The sequence below is a fragment of the Homo sapiens genome, chromosome 2 (assembly GCF_000001405.40).
Source record: "Homo sapiens chromosome 2, GRCh38.p14 Primary Assembly".
NCBI classification, from domain to species: Eukaryota; Metazoa; Chordata; class Mammalia; order Primates; family Hominidae; genus Homo; species Homo sapiens.
The window spans coordinates 204,679,581-204,705,063 of NC_000002.12; the positions used below are offsets into that span (position 1 = coordinate 204,679,581).

Genomic DNA, 25,483 nt, shown 5'->3' on the forward strand with positions numbered 1-25,483 from the left:
TAATTTTAAATCATAAATGTTTTGCATATTTTCATTAGACTCATTCATAAGTATTTGATTTTATGCTATTGTAAATGTTACAATTTTTTTTTAATTTTTTTTAATCTTTAACTGGTTTTCTTTGTTTAGTTATTGGTTTGCCTTATTTACTAAGATACTTCTATACTGTGATTTGGTGGTGCCTATTCTCAAATGCTTTTTCTGCATCCATTGTGGTGATCATTTGATCTTTATCATTTTTTCTATATTAATTTATGAATAACTTAGGTTGATTTTTGACTTTTAAATAACTCTTGCATGACTGTAATAATTTCCACTTGGTTATCATGTATTATTCCTTATAGACATCACTGAATTTGATTTACAAATGTTTAAGATTTTTACCTACATATGTAGATTTTTACCTACATATCCATGAGAAAGAGAGAGACTGGGATATTATTTTCTTGTAATATCCTTGTAAGGATATTGGTATCAAATTTATGCTATCTTTTTTAAAAAAAGCTGAGAGAATTTTTCTCTTTTTCTAGTCTCTAGAAGTATTTATATAAAAGATTGGCATTATTTGTTCCTTAAATATTAGGAAGATTTTACCTGTGATGTCATCTGAGCTTGGAATTTTCCTTTTGAAGAAACATTTGGAAGGTTTTGAAACAATAAATTCAATTTAATTCTTGTTGTTTTTGTATTAATCATATTTTGTATTTTTACTGTCCATTTTGTTGTATTTTTCGAAGAATTCGTTCATTTTATAAAAATTGTTAAATTTATAGGTCCAAGGTTTTTAGAATATTCTCTTCAGTATCTGTAGGATCTATAATGGTTTTGCTTGCCTTTGTTCCTTCCTGATATTGGAAATTTATTTTATTTTTCTTGATTGGTTCTGCTATGAATTTACTAGTTTTGTCAAGCTTTTCATAAAACCAACTTTGATTTTTATTTGTTGTTTTTTTATTTCATTGTTCTTTGCTCTTTATTTTCTTCACTGTGTCTTTGGATTTCATTAGCTGTTTTTTTTCTAGCTTTTTGATCAATTTTTTTTACTTGTTAATATGTGCATTAAAGACCATAACTGACACATTTGGCACTGATTTACCTGCATTCCACACATTTTTGCTATTTTAATTACTAGAAGTATTTTCTCATTGCCTTTATTTTTCATCTATGGATTTTTCAGTACTGTATTTCCTAATTTCCAAACAGCTGGGCATTTTTGAGATATTTTTCTGTGGTTGATTCTACTGTGATAAGAGAACATATTTTAAATGATTTCAGACCTTTGAAATTTGGTACACGTTCCATGTACACTTATAAAGTATGTTCTAATCTTTTCGGTTACACTATTTGTGTGTGTGTGTGCAAATATAATACAAATAAGTTAGGCTACATTTGTTACTTGTGTCAGTCAGATGATTTATATCTTCTTCAATTTTTTGTTTCCTATCAAGTCTCCCAATTCATGTTTTTAAAATATTTTTTAAAGATCTGTTCATTTTGACAGTATATGTATTAAAGTTATATTATTGGGTACGTACACATTTAACATTGTTATCTTTCTGTTAGATTGAGCCTTTTATCATGATTGAATATCCCACTTTATCTTTATTAATACTTCTTTCCTTGAAGTCTCCTTTATCTGATATTAGGATTAGTATGGCCATACCAACTTTCTTTTGATAGAATCATAGATTTTTAGATCTGGAAGTAAATATATGTATGGACTAATTCTCCCTCATTTTATATGTAATTAAAGGTTTATAATTCTATTGGACTTGCTAGGTGTTACTTTCAACCCAGCATAAAAACTCCGGGTCCCATTCTAGTTCTGCTGAATTCTTTGGAAACATACTGTAGTTAATTCAAACAGCCTCAGCCCATGTTCTTCTACTAGGCTTTTCTCCTGAAGTTTACACTTGGTTGATCTATTTTAGGAAGGTGAAGGCGTGTTCTGAAGCCAGTTAGGGCTGGTTCATAATAAACTGTATATTCATCACTGCCTTTTCTGGCTTGATTCTTTCCTTTCACGTGTCAGTGCTGCTCTGCTAGGCTTTGTTTGGGTGTCATTTTCCAAAACTCTTGTTTTTCCCTGCACTGCTCTGTGGCTGGCTACTCAGAGGCTCCTGTTCTCTGTCTGCCCCAAACAGTCTGCAGACATGCTCTGTCACCTTCTCCTTCCTGGGTGCATTGTGGGGCATCTGATTCTCATTTGGTCTTGGGTAGAGGGGAGAATGCCCCCAGGAGATTATTATAAAAGTAATTAAGTGTTATGTGCAAGTACATTTTTGTAATTCTCTATCTAATTTCTGGTGCTTCAAACTCCCTCTCTATTCTTGGCAGTAAGATCTTTTTCCACTGTTTCCAAAACCCTTAAGTCTATGATTATGAAGATTATATTTTGAAGGTTTCCCCACTTAATTCTCATTTGTGAAGCATGGGACAGACCCACTTAAGCAAAGAATTTGGGGCCTTCCATTGTCACCCCCCATGTCTCTGCATTTTGACCTCTATGAGGTGCATCATACAAAAGGCCATCCAGTCTCCAGGCTCACTAATGATGATGCACCCGAGGCCCAGAATAATGGCAACTTGCCTGGGTACGTATGCTTATGTAGGGATAGAAATGGACCTGATTCCCTGCCTGATTCCTTGGTAATTGTGCTTTGTATTAAGTTATTTAATAACAAAATATTTTCTGTGTTTAAAAAAAAATCCCACCTTGGCTTTGCTGCTTATTCAGTGTCTGAACTTCGGAAAGTTAATTCACCTACCTTGGTTTTCTCATCTGTAAGATGGATTAACTGTTTTATGAGGCATTTTGAGGATAAATGAGTTAATCATACAAAACACATAGTACCTATAGTACCTGACCTATAGGTAAAATCTCATTTTGTGGATATGTGCCACCAAATTCATGAAGTTAAATTCTATAAAGAAAATTCCGTTTTGTTTTTACCTTCCATTTGACCATTGCTGTTGTGTTCCAGTAGGTAAGATTCTTCTAGTAAAAACATTAAGCCACCAGGAAACCAGTTGCATGGCTGAGAACTGTAATTCATGTAGCCCCTCTCCAAAAATCGGCTTTTCCTTTGCAGCACTCTCCCCACTTTGGGACCTCGCTGCCATTGCAGGCTGTTTTTTCTTCTTGGACTACAGGCATCTTGCTTGGGCCCCTCCAAGTTTTCCCTTTCTTGTGTTTATTGGCATAATCCCAGTTCATGGTAGTCACAGCATTATAGTATGTGGGTTGCCAGTCTACTCCTTTAGGTATTACAAGTGGAAAATTATTGTACTTCAAACATGGTTAATGTAAATTTTCTAATGCATAAGGTAAAATTTCATGTCATCTACCCATAGTGAAGGTCTTTTGGTGCTATTAGTATTAAAGCCTATTTGGAACCATTTTTACATTTGATCATTAAAAATAACTCTTCTTCCTGTAATGCCTGTGTTTTTGTTTTGCTTTCCTTTTGCAATTCATTCTCATAGGCTAGTTTTAGTTTTAAAATTTTAGTAGCATTTAAATTAACTCTTTTATTTTAAAAACAGATACAATAATGTCAAAAGTGGAGAAAACATAATTATAACATTATTTTTCAATAATGATCCTAGGAGTATAAGTAATAAGACATTGCATAGCAAAATGAACACATATATTAGAGATATTTTCAAAATAATTTAAAAGCTATGTGTACCACAGTTACTTGTGCAATATAAAGGCAAGTTAAGTGTCATAATCATAAAAATATAGTAATTTTTTCCCAGTGACAGTATGAACCAGAACACATATGTGAACACCTTTTCATATCTGATCAGTTTTATTCCTGATGGCAATAAAACCATGTAAATGAAATGCAAAATGTTGACTGCAATGTAATGGTTGAAATTTTTACATGCATTAAAGAGTCAGGATAAATTTATGGTCTTACGATGGCTGTAGGTTGCATATTTTGTATGTACATTTTTGAGTGATCAATAGCACCATGGCCAAAATACCATGGGGACAAAAATCACAGTTGGTATGTACTGTGGTTTATTGACATTTTGCCCCCTCTCAGATGTGTAAAATATTAACCCTGAGACTGATTTCCTATGGCTTGTCTGTTTTTGTTCAGGGTTAGGTGTAGATATATGCCCATCATTAGCCTACTCTTTTCTTCTTTGGAATGTATAAAATGGCAATATCAATGTGGAATAGGGAGTTCAAATTGTAGTCTTTCCATATTCTGACACCATGTTTTTCACTTAAAATTTTTGGGTCAAATACATGTTTCCAAAATGTATCAAGATACTTTTTTACTTCATTTAGTTCTGAGCTCTTTTGAATCAAATTAGAGAACAGTGTCTTAGTTTCAACTCCGTGTCTTATTTTCCACAATGTCTTGGATCCCAGTGTGCGTGAGGGAGGAATGGATGTGATGCGGCAACCCCATCTTGCTGCCATTTGTTTGATATTCCCTTTGCCACTGATCAAATCCTATCTTTGGCTATTTTTTGAGTTACTTTATTTTAAATTAGGACTCTTTGGTTTTCTTCTCTCTGTGTTTCCACCTCTAGGCAGGAAGGTGTACTTTAACTTACTGCAGTTGTGAAGGATGATTATTTACCTCCATCGTAGGTGATAAAATCTGCTTTTACAAACTGAACTTGAGAAAAAAGCAGATAACTGATAGATGCCTGCTTTTAAGTACAAATATACTATAAAGAAAACTCTTTAGAATACATTACTTTTTATAAACATGGTTAAAATCAACAGATTTCATCTACAGAGCTAGGTAATATATCAAAAAACTCAATGGAAGTTTATAGAAATTAATTAAATTGAACTCTTTTTATAAGCAGACTTTTTACAAGGAATAAATAATACTTAATATTTCCGTCAGAAGTCCTGGGTAGATTTGAAGAAATATGTTGCTTGCGGCATGGCCATAACAAAAAAGATTTAATTCCCAAATATTGCTGGGGGAGAGCTGTATTGTCCAGTGGCCATTACATAGTTTTCTCTATGCTAGGATCCTCCCTTTTTGAAATCTGGCCTATTATACTTAGCTCATCTTTTACAGCACAATTACTTCGGGTTGGCAAAGACCTCTGGTTAAAGAAACTGAATAATGAGAGTTGTGTGTCTTTCTTACCTGATTATACTCCCACTGCTTATATCTTTGAGATCTCTATCTGTGCCACAGAGTCAGGCATTTAAAGTTTCCTAGTAAATCATTGGTGTTTGCACCTATAAACTCAGTATTAGAAGTAAACAAAACTCCTTTTATTTTACTTGAAATTCAATACTGTATGGAGAACTTAATTTTGAAATGTCTAAAGCCTAACTAAGGAGAATTCCTTTAGATTTTTAAAGCCTATCACTTTACCAAGTTGTATTACTGGAAAGCTATGTACTTGGGTCACATTTTAGTAGCTCTCCAAATAGATGCCTTAAAAAAGTATTGTTTAATAGTATGCCCTTACTGTTTATTGGGGGTCAGCTAAAAAGAAGACTGTATGACAACCATTTCTATTAGCTTTTATGAAATTGAAATTGAATTCCGTGGGTTATATTAGTTCTTATCCCTAATAAAGATTTGTATGGGAAAGGCTTAGAGCTGTATCCTAGAAGAATTTCCATCTTTCTTTTTTAACAAACTGGTATCTGTTCGTTTATTGGATACCAAGTGTATTATAGCTCAAAAGTTTCCCACTTTGAGGGGCTTTCTAAGACTCACAGAACCAAATTGATTATAGCTTGGGGATTATGGTAAAACCTTACTCATGTTTTTCTTCACTTCATTCATTGGTTCATGTTCTTGTCCCATCGCTATAATGGTTCACTTTCATAGCTATCCTGGAAATAGGCAGTACGTAAGTAACTGAATGAGCTAGATTATTTAATTCTAAATTCTAGAATCAGAGTAAGCGGTTTTTAAAAGTAAGCAGTTTTTTAAAAAGCGATAGTTGAACATCTCTTTAATTACTACCCCAACTCAGTGAATTCCCCATTCAACTCTGAACACAGTTTGAGTTGCTGCCATGCTGCAGGAAATGGCAAGCGAGGCTGGAGCTCCTGCTCTGTGCATCATTGCATATCTCAGAGTGAGGCTGCATGCTGAACATGGAGATTTAAACAGGTGAAGATGTTGGTGGCTACCCATTCCATTTATATATTTTGTAGTGATAGCTATTACCATCACAGATTCTGCCTTTAGGGTTTTTTCCCTACAGCTTTGGAATCTGTTTGGACTTTTATTCCTAGTTTCAGAAAGTACCCTCAAGAAGATCTTTCTTTTCCAGAGTATTCTTGGAATTACCTGAGTTGTAGGTTATAAAAATTCCCTGAGTATGTTTTTCAAACAGTTTATTTTTGCATTGCAATTTACCTTCCAGGAAAATTGATGAAATATGTATACCTTGATTCTCCGATTTAAGTTAAACAGGATAAAAATGCCAAGTATTTTTTTCCAAATAAATAGATAACATTTGTTTTCAGTGTTTAAAAATTTGATTACTAGAACATATTTTTAACAAGTTAACTTATGTCTCTTAACATTAAAATGTGTTTAACTTTTTAACATAGATTAGGTCATTAAACTTGTGTTTGTTCTACTATAGGGTCCTGGTTACTGGGTGAAGATTCATCACTTAGAATATACAGATGGAGGAATCCTGGATCCAGATGATGTCTTGGCAGATGTTGTTGAAGATAAAGACAAGGTAGATAACTCTAAAAATGTGCCTCTTTGTTTTCCTCTACAGAGCTGCATGTTTTCAAGAGACTGAAATCCTTAACAAACTCATGTGTCAATTATTATTAAAAGATACCATCTGTTCAGGTTTCACCTGGACAGCCCATAAATCAAAGTTCTTCATCAGATGTTTGGAAAAACTGTGTTAAGGTTTGGGAATCTGTTTGTGTTGGCCTAATTAGCAGACACTTCATTCCCAAGAGTTTCTGATATGTCTTAATAAATTAGTTTCATATGTGAGGCTGTTGGAATCATCATTGTCGTTGCTGGCTCTGTAGTTTATTCCTGGCCCTTGCTAACTATTCAACTAAATGCCTGAGGCGTGAATGTGTTTCAAAGTAGAGAATACAATGGGGCAGCAAGTTTTATGAAGAATTACAGTGAAGATTTTTCTGAAAGTAGCTGGCAAACAACTATCTTGAGTGATAGTCTTATTTTCACTGCTACAGTAAAAGGCACTAAATTGAATACTCCAAAAAGTTTGAGCGTGTTCTGCCACTTATTTGGGAATAATCTCGTTGCAAATATCTTGTTTTAATGAGATTTTTCTTCTGAGACTATACAGAGGAAGGTGTGAAAGTATACTATTTCATTGCAATACACACGATTATTGCTGTTGAGACAGGTTTAATACTACAGGTTTGGCTCCTGTCATCAATGGCTAATGTGTTTTCCAAAACCGAACTCTGTCAGAGAGATCTAGCTTTCAAAGTTTCTTCTATTATACATCTTTAGTGCTGTTTGTACAAGGCTAATTTATATTTGGAAACATGTTTCTCTATATTTTTTCCCTGTAATCTCAGGGGTGTGTATGTGTACATTTTTGTGTTTTACCTAACTGGACTGGAATATAAATAAGTGATTTATTAAACTCAGGTGAAGTTTATATTTTTCTTTTTCCATAAGATCTCTTCAGACTGTTCAAACTTACATTAATCTTTGCAGACATCTTATACATTTACTTTTCATATTTTATTTTGTAATTAAAACCTGTTTTGCTTTATGTTGTTATTAGCGATTTTATAGTCTATTTAGGGAGATAACTAACTAAGTTTTATAGTCTATCTAGGGAAATAACTAGCTATCTAGATAAACCTAGTTATCTCCCTAAATAGATTGTAAGCTCCTAGTGGACATGGACTTGGGAGATTTTTATTTGTGTGTTTTTGTTAGTAGTATCTGGTATAATATCTTACACAAACTTGATTCCCAAAAATACTTACTGAATTAATGAGTGAAAAAGACAGCTTTACTTTCTACACTTGACTCTTGCTGTATGTAATTTTGATATATACTTCCTGTTTATTTAGTTGGTCTCAGGGTAAATAAAAGGGTAACTAATGTATTATTAACCTTCAGAACCCTGAAGAAGGGTTTTTAGTTCTTTCACCCTGTTTCACTTTCTGCTTCTTCCCTAGGGATCATCTTCTTCCTTTGAAATAATCCAGATATTTTAATTGTTTATTAATGTAGAAGGCAGTTCCTGTCTTAAATTTCACTGATGTCCAGAACATTAAAATGAAGGGCCAAAAAATGGCAAGTTTAGGAAGGACGAGAAGAAAATGTCTTACCCCAGCTTCATCCAATACCTCATTACTAGAAGGATAAGTCCATGAACAGTGCCCAGGGAGATAATTTGTCCCATAGAGCTCTCACATTTAGAGCATTCTTTTAAACTATCTCAGCAATGCAGTTTATAACCATAATCCACTTACTACACACAGAAACAGCTTTATTATATGTAATCTCTGTTTTAATGGGACTCTACCACCATTACTAAATAAGGTAAAAAAGTGAGATAATCAGTTAAAATCCTAGCTGAGGATTAGTACTGCTTGGGTTCGGCTTTAACAATTCTGTTAATGTACTTCAATATTTCTACATGATGCCTAATTGGTATTGTTCTGCAGAGTTTATGACAATTTATACTTTTGATGTTGCTAGAAAAAATTGTGTTGCCATTTCTTCTTCTTAAAAAATACGTAAGTGGCACGGTGGCTCATGCCTGTAATCCTAGCACTTTGGGAGGCTAAGGTGGGTGGATCACGAGGTCAGGAGATCAGGATCATCCTGGCTAACACAGTGAAACCCCATCTCTACTAAAAATACAAAAAAATTACACAGGAGTGGTGGCATGCACCTGTAATCCCAGCTACTCAGGAGGCTGAGGCACGAGAATCAATTCAACCCAGGAGGCAGAGGTTGCAGTGAGCCAAGATCACACCAGTGCAGGCCAGCCTGGGTGACAGAGCAAGACTCCATCTAAAAAAAAAAAAAAAAAAAGGTGAAAAAAAGAATTTCTTATTTTTCTGACAACCTTGGTAATCTTAAGATTTCTTTATAGTCCATATGTCTATTGTGGAAAGAAGGCCCTGCCAAATTTCATTTTACCTTACTTTTTGGCAGTTTAGATTAAGAAGTAACTATAAGTGATGCTTTGTGGATGCTTAATGACATATCAGTCTCACTCAGGATCCTTTGAGGCGGTATTGAGCTTAGACAAAATAACAGTTCACCTGTTTGCAAATTGGCTACCTAATAATCTTTGGCATTTAAAATGTGGATAGAGAACAAGTCCAAAGAGGCACGGATAGATGCACATAATCATTGTGCTAACCCCAAAATATCTCACCTCCTAGGAAAGACTCTCACTCCAGGTGAGAAGTGGCATTAAGGAACTGTTGGTCTATTGCAGCATATCAGGCAGGAAAAACAGAAACTTAGAAAGCAGGGGAGGCTGGGCCATTTAGTGTATGGTAACACCATCCCATACACTTCAGTAAAGGTAGAAACTAGAGGTTAAATGATATTGTACTTCAAATTAGAGAAGGCTCTAACAAAGTTCAGCCAGTGTTCTTAAGAAATGACTTTTAAAACTTGTGCCTAAAGTGGTTTGTCTGTGGTCTTACTTCTATTATTCCTTTGGCCAACATAGTGCTTGGCGCATACATGGTATCTGCTTGGGAGCTTTGGTTTTTTAAACTTGCTTTCCTAGTACAGCTTCCACGGGGACCAAGTCTCCACTGTGTTACACTACTTCTAGCCTATATGTGTCAAAATATTATTGGAACAGCTTTGGAATATTGCATCTTATGATAACTATTTGTATAAAATGTTGTGCTGAAACTTAATAATTATCTGGTTGTGACAGTTATTCTCAAGATTCTTCAGTTTGTCTATCAGTCTGATGATTCGAGTTCTTTGGGATAAATATCTAAGAATTGTAATTTTACACTCATGTCTCCTCTCTGGTTGCTAAAGGCTACCAACTTAGTTCACCCAATAGTAACAACCTAATCATTGATGACTAGCAATGGCCCAGAATGTCTTTGGCCCTTATTTATTCTACGTTATTTTAAAGCAATCCTGAAGACAAGAGCTAGTGTTATCCCTATTTTTAATTTCCAGAATAATCACAGAAATTGTAAGTAACTTGCCCAAGATCACACAGGTAGTAAATGGCACAATCAGACTCTGGAACCTAGAATTTAAATTTCTGTAATCTTATTTCTTTTCTTCTCTGATGTGTCAAGCAGTTTGGCGCTTGTATCTATAATTTCTATTACGAAAATTCATCAGTCATAAATTAACATGAATTTTGCTTTTACGTAGTCACCACCATTGCTAAGAAAAGGTTGGTAATAGACCAAACTGTTGAGTATAACAAAACAGTTGAGTATACAATTTATTTATAAATTAATTCAGAATTAATATGCCATACATATTTAATATATTTCAACCCTGTTTGCCTATAGCCTGCATCTAGTTTATTGTAAAGGCTTGTCAGCTCTACCTCTGTTGCTTTCTTTTGCATCCTCTTTTCTCTAGGACCCAGATTATTTGATTTAGATACAGTTTAATTTCAGTTGGACGCTTTAGACTGCACTTGAAGTCTAACCACCATATGCAATTACAAAGAAAAACAAGTTTGTATTACAGTAACTACTTTTTTGCACCAACTATAGACTGTGCTGTTTTCAGTAGGCAGAGTAATGGCGCCTCAAAAATGTCTACTCCCTAATCTCTACAACCTGTGAATATGAATGTTACATGACACAGCGTCTTTGCAGATGTGCTTAAGGATCTTAAAATGGAGAGATTATTCTGGATTATTTGGATGGACCCAATGTAGTCACAAGCATCCTTATAAATGAAAGAAGAAGGCAGGAGAGTATTAGAGAGATAAATGTGAGAAAGACACACCCAGCCAATGCCAGCTGTGAAGATGGAGAAGGTGCCACCAGCGAAGAATGTAGCTGGCCTCTGACATTGGAATCAGTAAGGGAATGGATTCTCCCCTAAAGCCTCCAGAGAGAACACAGTCCTGCTGATACCTTGATTTTAGCCCAGTGAGACTTGTTTCAGATTTCTTAACTGTCAGATAATAAATTTGTGATGTTTTAAGCCATTGCATTTGTGGTGACTTGCTACAGCAGCAATAGGACACTAATACATACACTGCCTCTTTTCCCATTTTAACTTTTAAAGTGATGTTAGTCTTCTCAAATTTCATATTGACTGGGCATTGAGATCCTGCAGGATGAGATAAATGCTTTGTACTTCAGATGGGTTCCTTGTTCTTTGCCTTCCTCCCAAAGTCCATCACAAATGATCCTCAGTTTATTGGGTGAGCCTTCACTCTTTGAGACTTGATCTTTAAATATCTAATTATGCTGTTATCGTCTATAGTGTAGAAATTATTTCAAAGTCACAGACAAACAGCCTTGTTCACTTATCAGTTTCTCGCTGCAGTATGTAAAGGCCCTAAGAAGTCTGAAGACTGATGCTTAGTAAACCACTGCAAAGCTTAATGCTTCCTTCCTTTTAAGTGAGCATGAGAGCTTCTGAGTATTAAGCTTTTTAAAATGATTATTTTCTTTGGTAATTGCCATTATTAATTTTTGGCTGGGTTGAAGAAGACAACTGCAATATAACATGAAAACATGGCAGTCTATCACATCTATTATATAAAGTCAATTACTGCCATGGTTTCATTAACTGTACAAAAGTAATACTGTATTATGTAGTAAAGTAACATGGAAAGATGCCTCTGTTCTTGACTAAATTTTGCCTATCCTAGGGGGCTAGTTTGGAGAGATGCCAGTGGTTTTCAGGGCTTCCAAGTGAATTGCCCACTGGATCACATGTGATATCTGGTATTCAAATGTTATAATTTCAGTTCAGTTTTATCTCCTATTAGTTATCAGTCCTTGGGCAAGCTTCTTCATCTCTCTGGTCTTGGTTTCCCCATTTGTAAAATGAATATAATGTTCTTACAGGGTTGGTGTAGGAAAACTAGGTAGGTAAACTATATAAAATTTTAAGTATAGTATAGCATATACTGAGAACTCAAATGCTGTTATATTAATGATACTATGGTAGTGCTATTACAGTATTTTTAATGTAGGTGTTTTGATGTTACCATTAGATGTTTTTAGGTATTTAAACATCAAATAAACTATTTTACTGTATATTTTAACTGCTTTTTAAACAAAACTGATATGAATGAAGTTATTAAATTGGTAAAATAGTTTTATAAGAAGATATTGAATATGACAGAACATTTGGATTAATATATTGTTATTATTTGCGAAATGAAAATGCCAGTATGATTAAACTGGAAATGAGAATCCTTTTATCAGAACATATTATTTGGTAACATAAGGAGCATTTGGAGATGTAACATGATTTTAAAATGGAGACTGGTTTGCGCAATGCTGCATGAACTAGTGACCTAAAGCCAGGCTCTTTATTCTTAAGCCAAATTGCTTTCTGAACACTCTGTTGCCCTCTAGTGGGTCCACAGTTACCTAGAAACCAGCTCACAGGAGCTACTTCCTGAACAGGATGAAGTATTTTGTTCTACTTTATTTGAAAATAATTTTTGCTATGTTTTTTGTTACAACTCACAGACTCAGGCATGGAGAATAAAGCCAGAGTTTGCATATATTTCCCTGTGCTTTTGTGCATCTTCTAGTAAGGGCTAAAGGAAATTCCTTGCATTTATAAAAACTCCTCTTTTAAATTTATTTTTAAATTTAGACTTCTTCCCGCCTACCTGTTTGCTGGCTGAAAGATTAATGGCTGGTGGTGATGAAGTGTGTAACTTATTCAGTCTGTAGTTGGACAATCTATGAAGTATATTGTGTTTTCTGGAGAAGGAGAATGCTAAATTAAGTTAAACAGCTTTTTTTTTTTTAAAGGTCCTGATTTATTTCATTTCTTAGCCCTCATTTTATCAGTAAGATTTCCATCGCAAGCTAAAGTACCTATTTTAAAGCCACAATTAAAAGAAAAACAAATCAGGATATGATGTGTTTTTGTTTTTCCTTCAAAAAGTCTTACTTTGGTTCATGGGAGTTGATGTTATAAAAGCACAAAAGCACATAGAAGAAGTTTGGAGAAGGTTTCAGAAATAAATGCAGAAGCTCCTGAAGAACAAATGAATTACCTTGGTCATGAAATTTTAGCTCAGAATTTTCAAGATTACTCTCCGCTTATAGAATTACAAAATTGTAGAATCATGGATCCAAACAAGACCTCAACAGTCATGTGGATTAAACTCATCATCTTTCAAAAGAGGAAATATCCTACCCAGGAAGAGGTTATAGAACACGATGTCTGTAGCTGATTTAGTTCCTGAGTCCATTTCTGCATTTCCTCCCTAGGATGCTGATAACATCTCATGCAGATCAAAACTACTCAGTTTGAAGTTGGCTTCCTCCATTGACATCCTTGTTTTTGTTGGTTAGTTTCAAGTTGGCTTCTTCCATTGACATCCTTGTTTTTGTTGGTTAGGAGCACCTTCTCCTAGTCTCCCAGACTTGAACTTGCAGTTATTTTAAAAATTTAGTTATTTAATAAAGCCAATTTATTCTTTCCTTTATCCTTTCCCATATGTTTGTTTTTGTCTTTGAATTTCCACAGCTACCAAATTTATATCCATAATATTTCAGGCCAAGGTTACTGTAATTGACAAGAAATTGGTCGTCTTGTTTTTAGTCTCTTCCTTACCTGTCAGCTGTTTTTGTGCCTCGTATGTAGGCAGAATGGTTAAGATCTTGGATTCTGGACAAAAAAGTCAGTTCATTTCTTGGCCCTGTTATTTGTCTAGTTTTGTCCAAGTTGCTAAACCTCTTTGTGCCTTAGTTTCATCATGGATAAGTGGAACTAAAAATAGTACTAATTATGTAAGTTAACACGAAGTGTTCAGGAGAGCACCTGGCCTGTAGTAAGTCATCAATTGTTATTGTAATTAACACACTATTAATAATGTAAATTACATTATTTAAAAAGTATTGCTTAAATCATATTGTTCCTTTTAGTGTATACTGCATCAAGTCCAAACTTTGTAGCCATTTAGAGGCCTCACAATGCCTCCAAACTTTCTCTAAACCCACTTCAACCGCAGTGGTGGCGAAACTACTGTACGATTTATTATGTATCATGGACTTTCTAGCTCCAAAGCTTTTTTTCTTAATGTTCCGGTTGTCTGCTATATCCTTGTCCCTATTTCCTGCCCATCGAAGATTCAGTTTATGTTGTATTTTGTATTATTCAATATTAGCTCCATGAGGAGGGGGTCTTTGCTTTATTCACTGCTGTATTCCCAGTGCCTGCAGCAGTGCCTGGCATTTCCTAGCTGTTCAAATAATTACAGTCAATGAATGAACGTATGCTTTGAGGTTTTGAATAAGCCATTCAACCACTTGTAACTCCAGTTTTTCCATTGGTAAAATGAGAGTGATAAATGATATCGTTCACATCGTATTATTGGGAAGGTTGAAAAAGTGTGCAGGAAAATACAATGGAAATTACAAAGCACTATATACGTGTAAAAAATGTATCTATTCCTGCTGTTCAGTTCTTATGAATTTTTCAAGATCAAGGTGAAATTGTATTTTATCCCAGTCAACATTTGTAAATCATCTCAATCTAAAGTAAATCCTCTGTGCTCTGAAATTTTATAGAAACGATTAAGTGGTCTTTTTTTCTTTTTCAAATGTTATTGGCTAGTAACATTTACCACTTACCATCTCGAAGTTCTTAAGAATTTTATTGTTTAACTTTTTAAGTCTTGGTTTGTCTGTCCAGGTGTCTTGTGTGCTGTTTTAGGACTGGGATGATTGTTTAAAATATTTTTTAGCCCATAGACTTCTTACCTGTAGTTCAGTGTTTCATAAACATGTTTAATTTTAGTTAGTGATAGAGTGGGAACTAGAATTGAAGATTTCTAATTGACTACCTTTTTCTTCCACCAAACTACGTTGTCTCTTTGAAATATTTTATTAGGAGACAGTTTGTGGGCATGTTTCAACCTCAGAGAAGAATTTTGGAATCAATGCCTTTGTGACCTTACTATAGCTAAGGCAAATAGTGTCAAGAGATAGTAACTTAAACTACAGTAATCTTGATGATGGCCATGTCAGATATGTGCCTTCCGCAATTTAGTTGGTTGACAACTATAGTGTGTATGGGTGTATGTGTGTATGTACGTATGATGAGAGAATCTGTGCACAGATGTATGTATGTGGAGGAGTGTGTACACTTGCCCTGAATTTGTTTGCTTGTTGTGTACAATTGTGACACACAGGTTTCATCAGAGGTTGGAATGACATGATCAAGCTCTATGGTATTATTAATTTAGCTAAGCATTTGAGTACAGTGAAGAGTAAACCATAAGAAAATGTTTGATATGTGTGTAAAATTTTAAGTTTGGTTGGAGGGAAAAACCCAATAAAATTTGAGATCACAATAATGCTTTACTTAGAGCTAAAAATGTAATTCAAAATAAGAGTCAATGAACACTTTCATCTTTACAGTATGCCTTTCACCATATGTTACATTACTGGACCCAGTTCTACCAATTTTCTCTCTCACATTAGCTTCTTTTGAAGCTATTTGTATAGGCATATCTTTGGCCTAGGGGTATGGGACCATTATTTTTTTTTAATATACATCTGTTTTTTTACTTATGTAACTTACGAATTACAATCTCATTGTAATACCTAAAATTATACCAAATGGAAGACTACTTAAGCTATAAAACATCTTCTTTTAAAAATGCAAATGCCTGTGAGTACTAGTGTCAGTCACCAGTACCTGTGTGTATTGATTCAGATCGTGCTCCACTAATACCTAGCTGAAATCAGCTTCACTAAAGCAGTATTGTAGAGTGTCATGTGGCAGAGCACAGGGCATTGACAGTTTGAATGTAGGTTTTTCTTATTTTAAGCTGTCTCAACCTCAGTTCTCATGTTTATAAAGTCAGCTTTTAGGAGGAGGATCAAATGAAATGAAAGAGTGTGTGGTAACATTTTGAACTGTGATGTATCACACAAATATATCACTTTTATTCTTTCCTCGTGTAGCAGCAGCCCTGAGGTATTTAAGCAAACATTTCTGCATAGCCCAGAAAGGGCTTGTGGTGGTATGAGAACACTGAGCCAGGAACAGAGGAATGTCAGAGAGGTTTGGAAGGGAGGAGGATGGTTATGTCAAAAGGCCACTCTTCTCTTCTTGCCATCTAGTGAGGTGTTCAGGAAAGAGTTAGTGCTGAGAGTATAGGGAGAAGTAGTTTTCTGAAACAAAAATTGCATTTTTCTTTAATAAGTGAATGTGGGTGGTAAGAAGGGATATCAGAACTTCCAGGTACAGACCATCAAGGAAGGTGAAAACTAAAGTACAAGGATAGTTGTTCAGAATCTTCCCAAGATTCCAGAACCTTGATAACGTCTGCATAGGTTATCAGGTATCATGTTTGCTGCCTATTTCTTAATGAGTAACAGCGGGTTCTATAAAATGGGAGGTGGGTGCTTTGAAACAATAGGGAGTATCGGGGGAGGTATCTCTATCTTAGGTTAGGAAAAATCTCAAGAAATAAAATGGAAAGTTGTGAGAAAAACAGCTGACCTTCCGTTAAATCATGACCTGAGGTCTCATGATTTAACGGAAGAAAAAAACGGAAACAAAAAACAGGTCAACAGGACACTGCTCAGTATGGGCAAATAACCACTGAACCTTAAACAAGCAACTATTTAGTTACTTGATAGTTTCACCAAGAGATATTTGCTATTGAGCAATTTAATGGGAGTAACCATATACCAGACTCTTAATTTACTATGCTGGTTCTCCTATTTCCAGGACCTAAACTCACTTTATATTATTAATTAGCCATATTGTGAATCCAACAAGACGTTTTTGACTTCTCTTGGAATCAAACTGATGTTTGTCACACTTTTATGAGGTACCTGTTCCAAATTCTATATAAACCGCTTGTACTTATAGATACATTTTTAGTAAATAAGAATATTCAGTTTCCTTAAGCTTAGGCTTTTAAGTTGTAGCGTTTGAAAGTCCTATAAGTATTTAATATCACATTTAGAAAGAAAGTGTGTTTTCCCTGTCATGTGAATATGGAAACTTCACTTACAGAATTGCGGCAGGATTACTAAACTTAATGTTTACTCTTTTAACTTTTTAAGTTATCTTTTTAGCTTTACTTCGATGTTATGAATCAGTTTTGAAGGATCAAGTGACATTTTCTTAACAATAAAGAAGAAAGCCTCCTTGTGCAGACTTTAAATCAGGAGTGAAATAGCATAGAAACATGTTCAGAAATAATGTCTTCATTAATCTCAACCAAAACCATGTTACAATTGAAATACACATGTTTATACAATACTTAACTACAAACAGACCAGAAAGACTACAAAATAATATGATTTGAGATTATTCTAATAGCCTAACAATCTTAAATATGCATATACTTGTGTAAAAGTTGAAGAATCTCATAGTTCTTAATTGATAACAGGGATAGAAGTTGATTTTCTAGACTGCTGGCTAAGTGTGGCCACTGTATACCAGTTCAAAATGAACCCATTGTGGTAAAATGACGTGTTCTAAATAGTTCGCCTTTTAAATGGGAATTTTACAGAGCTCTTGGTTGACTTACTTGGAAATGGAAGTACCTAGTGTTAAGACTGAGGAACCTGGGACTACAATTGAGAAGAGAGGGTTCAGAGGGAGCCTGCTAACTGTCCTCAACTATTTGAGTGATCATAGAAAAGGTATAAATTCATTCCCTATTGCTCTAAGAAATCGGGCCAGTGGTGTTTCAAGAAAATCTTTTTCAGCTGAATATAATGAACAGCTTCTCAATGAAGCACATGCTGCTTTCTAACACAGGAGCTCATCTTAGTCACTGAGACCGAGTATATAAGCAAGAGTGGGGCAGACATCTGCCAGGAATTCCTCTTTTAGTTTTGCAGTTTGATTAGAGACTTCTAAAGGCCAACTGTCAGCCTCTGAGGCATGCATTTCAGTCTGGAAATACAGGATTGGCCTACATAGTCCGTTGTGATACAGTGTTGTTTGCTGACCTCACATCCGTTGTCCCCTTTCTCCCTCCGGTTGTGTTCAGATTCTCTCTCCCTTCAACTTGAAGCCCATATGGTTCAGTGCATGTGACTACTCACCTGCAAGGGTGACCCTGGGTGGCCCTTCGTCTGTTACTAATATTTGGTTCCCTGTGACAGTGATTACTTTGGGAATGGTCGTGTGATTCAGTTTGTGCCAAATATGTTCAAAGAGAGATTTGCTGAGTCCTTCTGGGAAAGATCGTTTCATCTTGTGGGAGAAATTTTCTCCGAATTTTATTTTGTTGTTATGAAGTTTAGATCCATGGCTGCCATCTAGCTTCCAACAAGAGAAGAAATTCAGGTTCCGGTAATCTAAGGAACATGGCGTCAGAGCCAATGGGTTGAGTCAACTCTCAAGACCCTCCTAACTTGGAACCTCCAATTACACGGGCCATGTATTGCCTTACATTTACGCCTGTTTCCATTGCGTTTTTCTGTGACTCACAGATTACGGATTGTCGTTGGTTACCCTGTTAGAGAAGCTTAGGCTCTATTTTTTGGGCTCCTCTTTATTTCCATTTGATTAGGACATATTTGTCCTAACCTCTTTCAGTTCTATACGTCATTAATTGGAAAGTTTTCAGATTGTTGTTCACATTTCTGCCAAATTATTTAGCTCCTTTCTTTCAGAAGTTTTTGAATTGTCAATGAAAGAATTACACATCTTAAAATCTGGAGGGGTAAAAATGCATATTCCAGTTGTTTGGTTTGCATGGCTTAGATTTACTAGGCAAGATTAACTTGGAATTTTTCCATTTGGTGCGAATTATATCTTTTTATTTTAAAGTCTTTGTTATCCTTGATTGTTGATTGGGTTTTTTTTTTCTGGAAGAAATAATTAATGCTATTTAACACATCTATTAAGATGTGTTTGTCATAAACGCTCATTATTTCTATTATTCATTACTTCAAAAATTATGTATTGAGAGCCAATATTCTAGTGACTGGGAAATCAGAAGGAGTTCTGTCTTTAGCCTTTTTAGATACTTAAAGTATAAGTGGTTACGTCAATGCGTGGTCTTACAGAGTAACATAGAGGCCATTTTTCCAATGGATTTCTTTAAAATTGTAGCGTTCCTCCTTTTTATTTTAAGAACTTGGAAGAAACATTTGACACTAACCTCAAAATGTCGCTTCAACTGGGTGCAATCCTATTTACATCAAGAAACTGGAGACTATATTTAAAGCAAACAAATATAAAAAAGAAAAACCTTGGGCAGTTTAAGAAGTTTCTCAGAACTCAGAGTGAAGTATAATAATCTTTTAAGTTATTATCCAATGGCATGAGATCATAATGTGGTTAATACTCCAGCTTCCCCTTAGCTGTGAAGAAGTTTTGCAATTATCAGTTTTCCCAAAATTATCTCAAAAAATAATGAAGCCCTTGACCTGACATATGACTCTTTTCTTCTGACTCTTTACCCAAGTTATAAAGAAGTGTCTAGGTGCCCCTGGTGTAGCAAGTAAAGCCTGGAGACTCCCAGGGAGCCCTGGGCCCCTAAATGGGGCAGACTGGGGATATTTCTTGTTCACCGAGGAAGTGGGGTTGCTTACGCTTGGACACTGAAAACACATCTGTGATATATTCAATGTACTTCATGTCCAAGCAATATAAAGACAGTGGTCCTTTACATTGTGACATTGAAATCACAATCACTCCTTTCTGAAGTGGCTACATGGCTGTCAAAATCAGGGTTCTTTAAACAAGCTTCAGAACATGCCACTCTTCCCTAACAAGACAGAATAATTTGGTATATTTAGGAAGATTGGAGGTTAAGCGAGTGAGATTCCCGGAGGATTTGTAAGAACACTGTAGAAGTGTTGGGGGTGGGGGAGATAAATGTGATGAGTTAGAAAAATAAGTAATTTGCAGATTTAGTGTGCTGATGATTTAAAAAGTGCTGTAATGAATGTTACAATAAGACAAGCAACAAAGAATAATGTGATAGACAATGATACAATAATGTTTGGGGAGGCTCCATGTCAAAGGCATCAACACTCAAACTATTTACATGACTCTTTCCCAAATGGAAACTTATTTCCCAAATGGAAATAAGGAAGTTAAGTAGTTACAATGATTTAGCATAAAAATGGATGAAATATTTTGCATTTAACAGAGACCAATCTGAGATGAATCTTGTATTCTTATATATAATGCATCAAAATATGGAATGCAGCTTCTGACTGGCCAAGTTAATTTTAAACCTTAGTATTTTTTATATGTATATACACTAACAGAAAATGTATCAAGTTGGTCTGTTCCAAGAAAGTCTAGGTTGAAAACTTGTGTATTTCCTGCCACATTGATACTTGAAATAAATATTCAAATAAAGGTGGAATATTAAAAATCCTGCAGTACTGTTCTTTAAATCTTTGCTGTTTGTTAGAAATCAGAAGCTAAAATTGAAAATTAGATTTATTGAGATGAATACTTCAAAGGCTGTTCCCTGGTATCTTAATTCAATATATTGCTTTCCTCTTTTTCCAAAACAAATATTTTCCTCTTATTTAAACAATGTTTTCTTTTATTCAGCTATAGCATCTGATAGCCTCATGTTACTGAAAGTTAACATAATAATTTGGGACTTAGAAACTTTATTTTACTCCTAGTTATAACTTTATTGGAAAATTTAATTTTGTACAGTGAAAATAATTATGTCTGGAATACTCTGAGCACCATTTGGTCAGTAGCACACCTTATATGAAATAAATAGATTTTTAAAAATTTGATAGTGTCTTCATATAAGGAGAGGAATATAGCTCTGGATTGAATTTTTGACACGCAATCTTTTATTATGACATCTAGTTGATTAATACTTCAGCCAAATCAGTGTTTTATAGTATCTCTTCACTGTCCATTGGATCTGGAGCTACAAGCATGCATAAAACCTGAAATCTGCTTTGTACTTCCCATCATTTACTTTGGGGCAATGCCAGTGTCTTGATTATAGTGTTTGAAGTCTAAATGCTTTAAGAATTCATCTAAGGCAGGACAATTTTTATACATGATTTTCTTATTGTATTTGAGTGACAGTGTTTAAGAATTTCTTAAGGTTAAAAGGTGGTAGGACAGAATTTTTGAATAAGAGGCACTTTTGTTTGTTTTTTCCTTTGTTTTAAAATTGTTAAACTGTTAACTGTTAAACCCAACACTACTAAAAAAGTTAGTACTTGTTAAATGTCAAAAAATTTTAAATATGGTAAAATACCAAGATGAATACCAAAATCATCTGCAATCACATCAAGCAGGAGTAGTCATTATTAAAAGTTGGGCATATAAATTTCTTTTGTATATGTATTGAAGCATAAATATTTACATTTATACTTTTTCATACAAAATTGTTTTAGTAACATACTTTTCTTTGACTTAACACATTTTTCTATGTATTTATTCTTTGAAAGATGATTTTCAATATGTATTTGGCCCATCCTTGTTTGAATGGGGATTTTTAGCTTTAGCTTCCTTCCTTTGCTTTTTCCTTGAACATTTTGCTATAATTCTGATAAATACTCTATTTACTGTAATTAAAATGTAAAAGCAAGATGTGTTTTCAGTGTAAAAATCCTGGGATATTTTAGGAAAAGGACTTTTAACCCTATAAATACAGCATAGAATTCTTGTCTAGAGAACTAAGTAAATGTCTATACTCATGGGACTTATTGGGCTGGTTGCTTACCTAGGTAGCTGAATATTCTGATTTCTGGTGTTTGGAAGAAAAATTTCCATTTGTTTTATAGGTGATTATTGGTAAGTTATTAGCTGTAGTTTGCTTTTAAAATGTATGTACCTTGAAATACACATATGAAAGGTTTAAAGGCAAATCTAACTTTTTTTAAATCTGAAACTCTATTTTAAGTTGAGTGTTGTTTTCTTCTGGATTTAACTGATTTTCAGCATTTTATTAATGCCGTAGAATTCTGGAAGTATTCACCAATTGAAAAGAATGAAAAGAAAGTATTTAACGATGACTTCTACTGAGGAAGCAATTTTATTTTATTATTTTTTTTTTCTTTTTCAACTTTTAGCTTCAGGGGGTACATGTACGGGTTTGTTACCCGAGTATATTGCATAATGCTGAGATTGGAGTACCAGTGATCCTGTCATCCAGGTACTGAGCAAGGTACCCAAGAGTTAGCGTTTGAACCCTTTCCCTTTTTGCTACCTTCCCCCTCTAGAAGTCCCCAATGTCTATTGTTGCCATCTTTATGTCCATGAGTACGTGTTGTTTAGCTCCCACTTACAAGTGAAAACATGCCATATTTGGTTTTCTGTTCCTGAGTTAATTCACTTAGGATAATGGCCTCCAGCTGCATTCATGTTGCTGCGAAGGACATGATTTTATTCTTTTTTATGGCTGCGTAGTAATTCTATGGGATATATGTACCACATTTTCTTTAGCCAATCCACCATTGATGGACACCTGGGTTGATTCCATGTCTTTGCTACTGTGAATAGTGCTGCTGTGAACATGTGAGTTTATGTGTCTTTTTGGTAGAGGATTTGTTTTCTTTTGGCTATGTACCCAATAGTGGGATTGCTGGGTTGAATGTTAGTTCTATTTGTAGTTCTTTGAGAAATTTCCAGAGTGCTTTCCAAGGTGGCTGAACTAATTTGCATTTCCACCTACAGTGTTTAAGTGTGCTCTTTTCTTTGCAGCCTCACCAGCATCTGTTGCTTTTTGACTTTTTAAGCCATTCTGACTGGTATAAGATGGTATTTCATTGTGGTTTTAATTTGCGGTTCTCCAGTGATTAATAATGATGAGCATTTTAAAAGTATATTTGTTGGCCACTTGTATGCCTTCATTTGAAAAGTGTTCGTGTCTTTTGCCTATTTTTATTTTATTTTTTTCTTTTTTTGAAGGAGTATTGCTCTGTCACCCAGGCTGGAATACAGTGGCAGGATCTCGGCTCATTGCAACCTCTACCTCCTGGGTTCAAATGTTTCTCCTGCCTCAGCCTCACAAGTAGCTGGGATTACAGGCACTGGCCACCATACTTGGCTAATTTTTTGTATTTTTAGTAGAGATGGGGTTTTGCCATGTTGGCCAGGCTGGTTTCAAACTCATGACCTCAGGTGATCTGCCTGCCTTGGCCTCCCAATGTGTTAGGATTACAGGCGTGAGCCACCATGCCTGGCCAATAGAGTTATTTGTTTTTTTTCTTGTTCAATTGTTTAAGTGAAGAAGCACTTTTAAATGTGAAAACTGTTATTGTTGAATTATAAGATTGTAATTGGAATATTCTTCATGATTCCAATTAGAATTTACTTTATTGATACTTTATTAATTTTAGGCATAGTGCTAAAAACATTGCTTATATTATCTCATCGATTATTTAAAATTACCCAGTGAGATAGACCTATTATCCCCATTTTACAAATTGGTAAACTAAGGCTCAGAGAACAGGATTAAGTGGTTTGCACACTTCTAAAGAGCCAGTACCTGATTAAGCCAGGACTCAAACTCAGATCTGTCAGTCTCCAAAGCCAGAGTTCTTAACCACCATGCTTAGACACAAAATTTGGTTTTCCATTTTCATGGTATTTTTCTGGAACTCTACTGTCCCTGCACTTGCTCATTTATGAGATGTTTGTCCCATGAGGCTGTATCCATTATGAAGTTTATGTAAAGATAAATAAGATGCTTCTTGTTAAAGAGATGGGAATGGGAGAGGTTGGATGGGGCAGTCAAAGGAAGTGACAGCTAGTTTATTTCTGTTACTTTATGCTCTTGTAAAAATACAGAAAAGATTGTGAATTTCTTTACTTTTATGAAATGTTTTAATTTCTGTAGAGTTGCCATGCATTATTCAAGATTATAAAATGATTTGAATTTCAGGAGCAGACAGATTTTCTGATGAGGATTTCAAGCTGTGTAATTATGAAACCCATATAGGTTAAAAGTTCAGAACTCGTTAGCTTAATCATTAAAAAATAACCAATTCATAAGCATGGCATTTCATTTTAGAGGGGTACAGTTACAATATCATTTACTAAATGACCCTTGGATTCTGCTTCATGTCCCACCACACACTGAGAATGTACACCACATAGTTTATTCTATGTTATTGTATAATTTATAAAGAAAATTCATATTTTATGGTAGTAAATTAGATGCCACAATGTAGGGCACATTTCTATAATTTTTTTTTAAAGTTTTCTTGGCACCTTAAAAATTCAAGGAAGTTAATGAGTGCCAAATATCAAAAAGGTTAATTAGAACCTGTTACATAGTGTTGAAGTATACATTTAGGAAATGATTTGTCAAATTTTTCCAGATATGGCATAAATGTTTCAGAATAAAATATAAGAAAATGAGTGCTCAGGTATGAAGGAAAATTTGTATTGTGCTAAAGTACACCTAAAATGTACCATCTTCATCATTTCTAAGTATGCAGTTCTGTGGCATTAAGTGCATTCACATTGTTGTATAACCAGCACCACTATTCATCTCCAGAACTTTTCATCATAACAGTATTTTTTATTTTGAATAAAATCATGCAGATATTATTGAGAATATGTTTGGATTCATACAGATGCTTGGAATCTTTAAAGGTTTTAATGTATCAGTATATGTAAAGATGAACGTTGAAACTGTAGCTCTTGTTACTTCAGGTAAGACACATGACATCCATTGATGCAACTGAAATCTTTACCAGCTTTTGAAATACTGTCAGAGTCATGCATATTTTCTTCAGGATGAAAGGATATTGAGAGGAAAACTATATTCAAATATAAACAATCTTCATAAAGAACCATCTGAGGTGATTAAAGATACCATGATCATCAAACAGTTAAAGGTGGAAAATAAAATATGGTATTTATGAGAATTTTGACTGGCATGAAGATTTTAATGCATATTATCTTGCTTTGCTAATCAAGGTGATTGAGATGCACTTGCCTGTTAAATAGAACTTGCTCGTGGCTTTTAGTTATCAGAGATTTTACATTTATCTTTTCTTCATTTGAATGCTACATAAACCCTCCCCTTTGAATCTGAGGGGGCCACTAATTTTTTTCCTAGAGTGCTACTCTTATATATTGAGAATATTTTTTCCCCTAATGCTTGGAGAATGATAACAAAAAAGAATTTTTTATTGGTTCATTTCATGCTTGGTAAGATTCCAACTGTCAAAACATTATAAAATTTTGAACCTAGAGGCACATTTCATCACCAGAGTACTAATTGCTGCAGAGAACTGGAGCGAGGCATTATGTAGTAGTATTTATTAGAGCTGCCCAATTTTAATGTTTTTTGGACCAGAGACACTTAAATAAAAGGTTAAGCTGTTTGGGCACAAAAGAAGGAAGAAAAACTGCTCAGTGCT

At 34.7% G+C, this 25,483-nt stretch overlaps 1 protein-coding gene across 12 annotated transcripts in view, besides 1 other annotated feature; it reads left to right on the forward strand.

The window, feature by feature from the left end:
• The window catches only part of PARD3B (par-3 family cell polarity regulator beta), a 1,074,688-nt gene that overhangs the window by 134,106 nt on the left and 915,099 nt on the right, over positions 1–25,483 (forward strand). For all 12 annotated transcript variants that reach the window (XM_047443208.1, NM_001302769.2, NM_205863.4 and 9 more), the window contains one exon: positions 6,601–6,702. In XM_047443208.1, the coding sequence (XP_047299164.1) occupies positions 6,601–6,702 (102 nt within the window). The remainder of the gene's footprint in view (positions 1–6,600; positions 6,703–25,483) is intronic.
• Positions 18,038–19,237: an enhancer, noted in NCBI's record as "BRD4-independent group 4 enhancer chr2:205562341-205563540 (GRCh37/hg19 assembly coordinates)". NCBI's record gives its function as "activates an origin of replication core promoter dependent on BRD2, P300/CBP, MED14 and CDK7 cofactors, and independent of BRD4, by STARR-seq in HCT116 cells {active_cell/tissue: HCT116}" and the evidence as "EXISTENCE:reporter gene assay evidence [ECO:0000049][PMID:35650434]".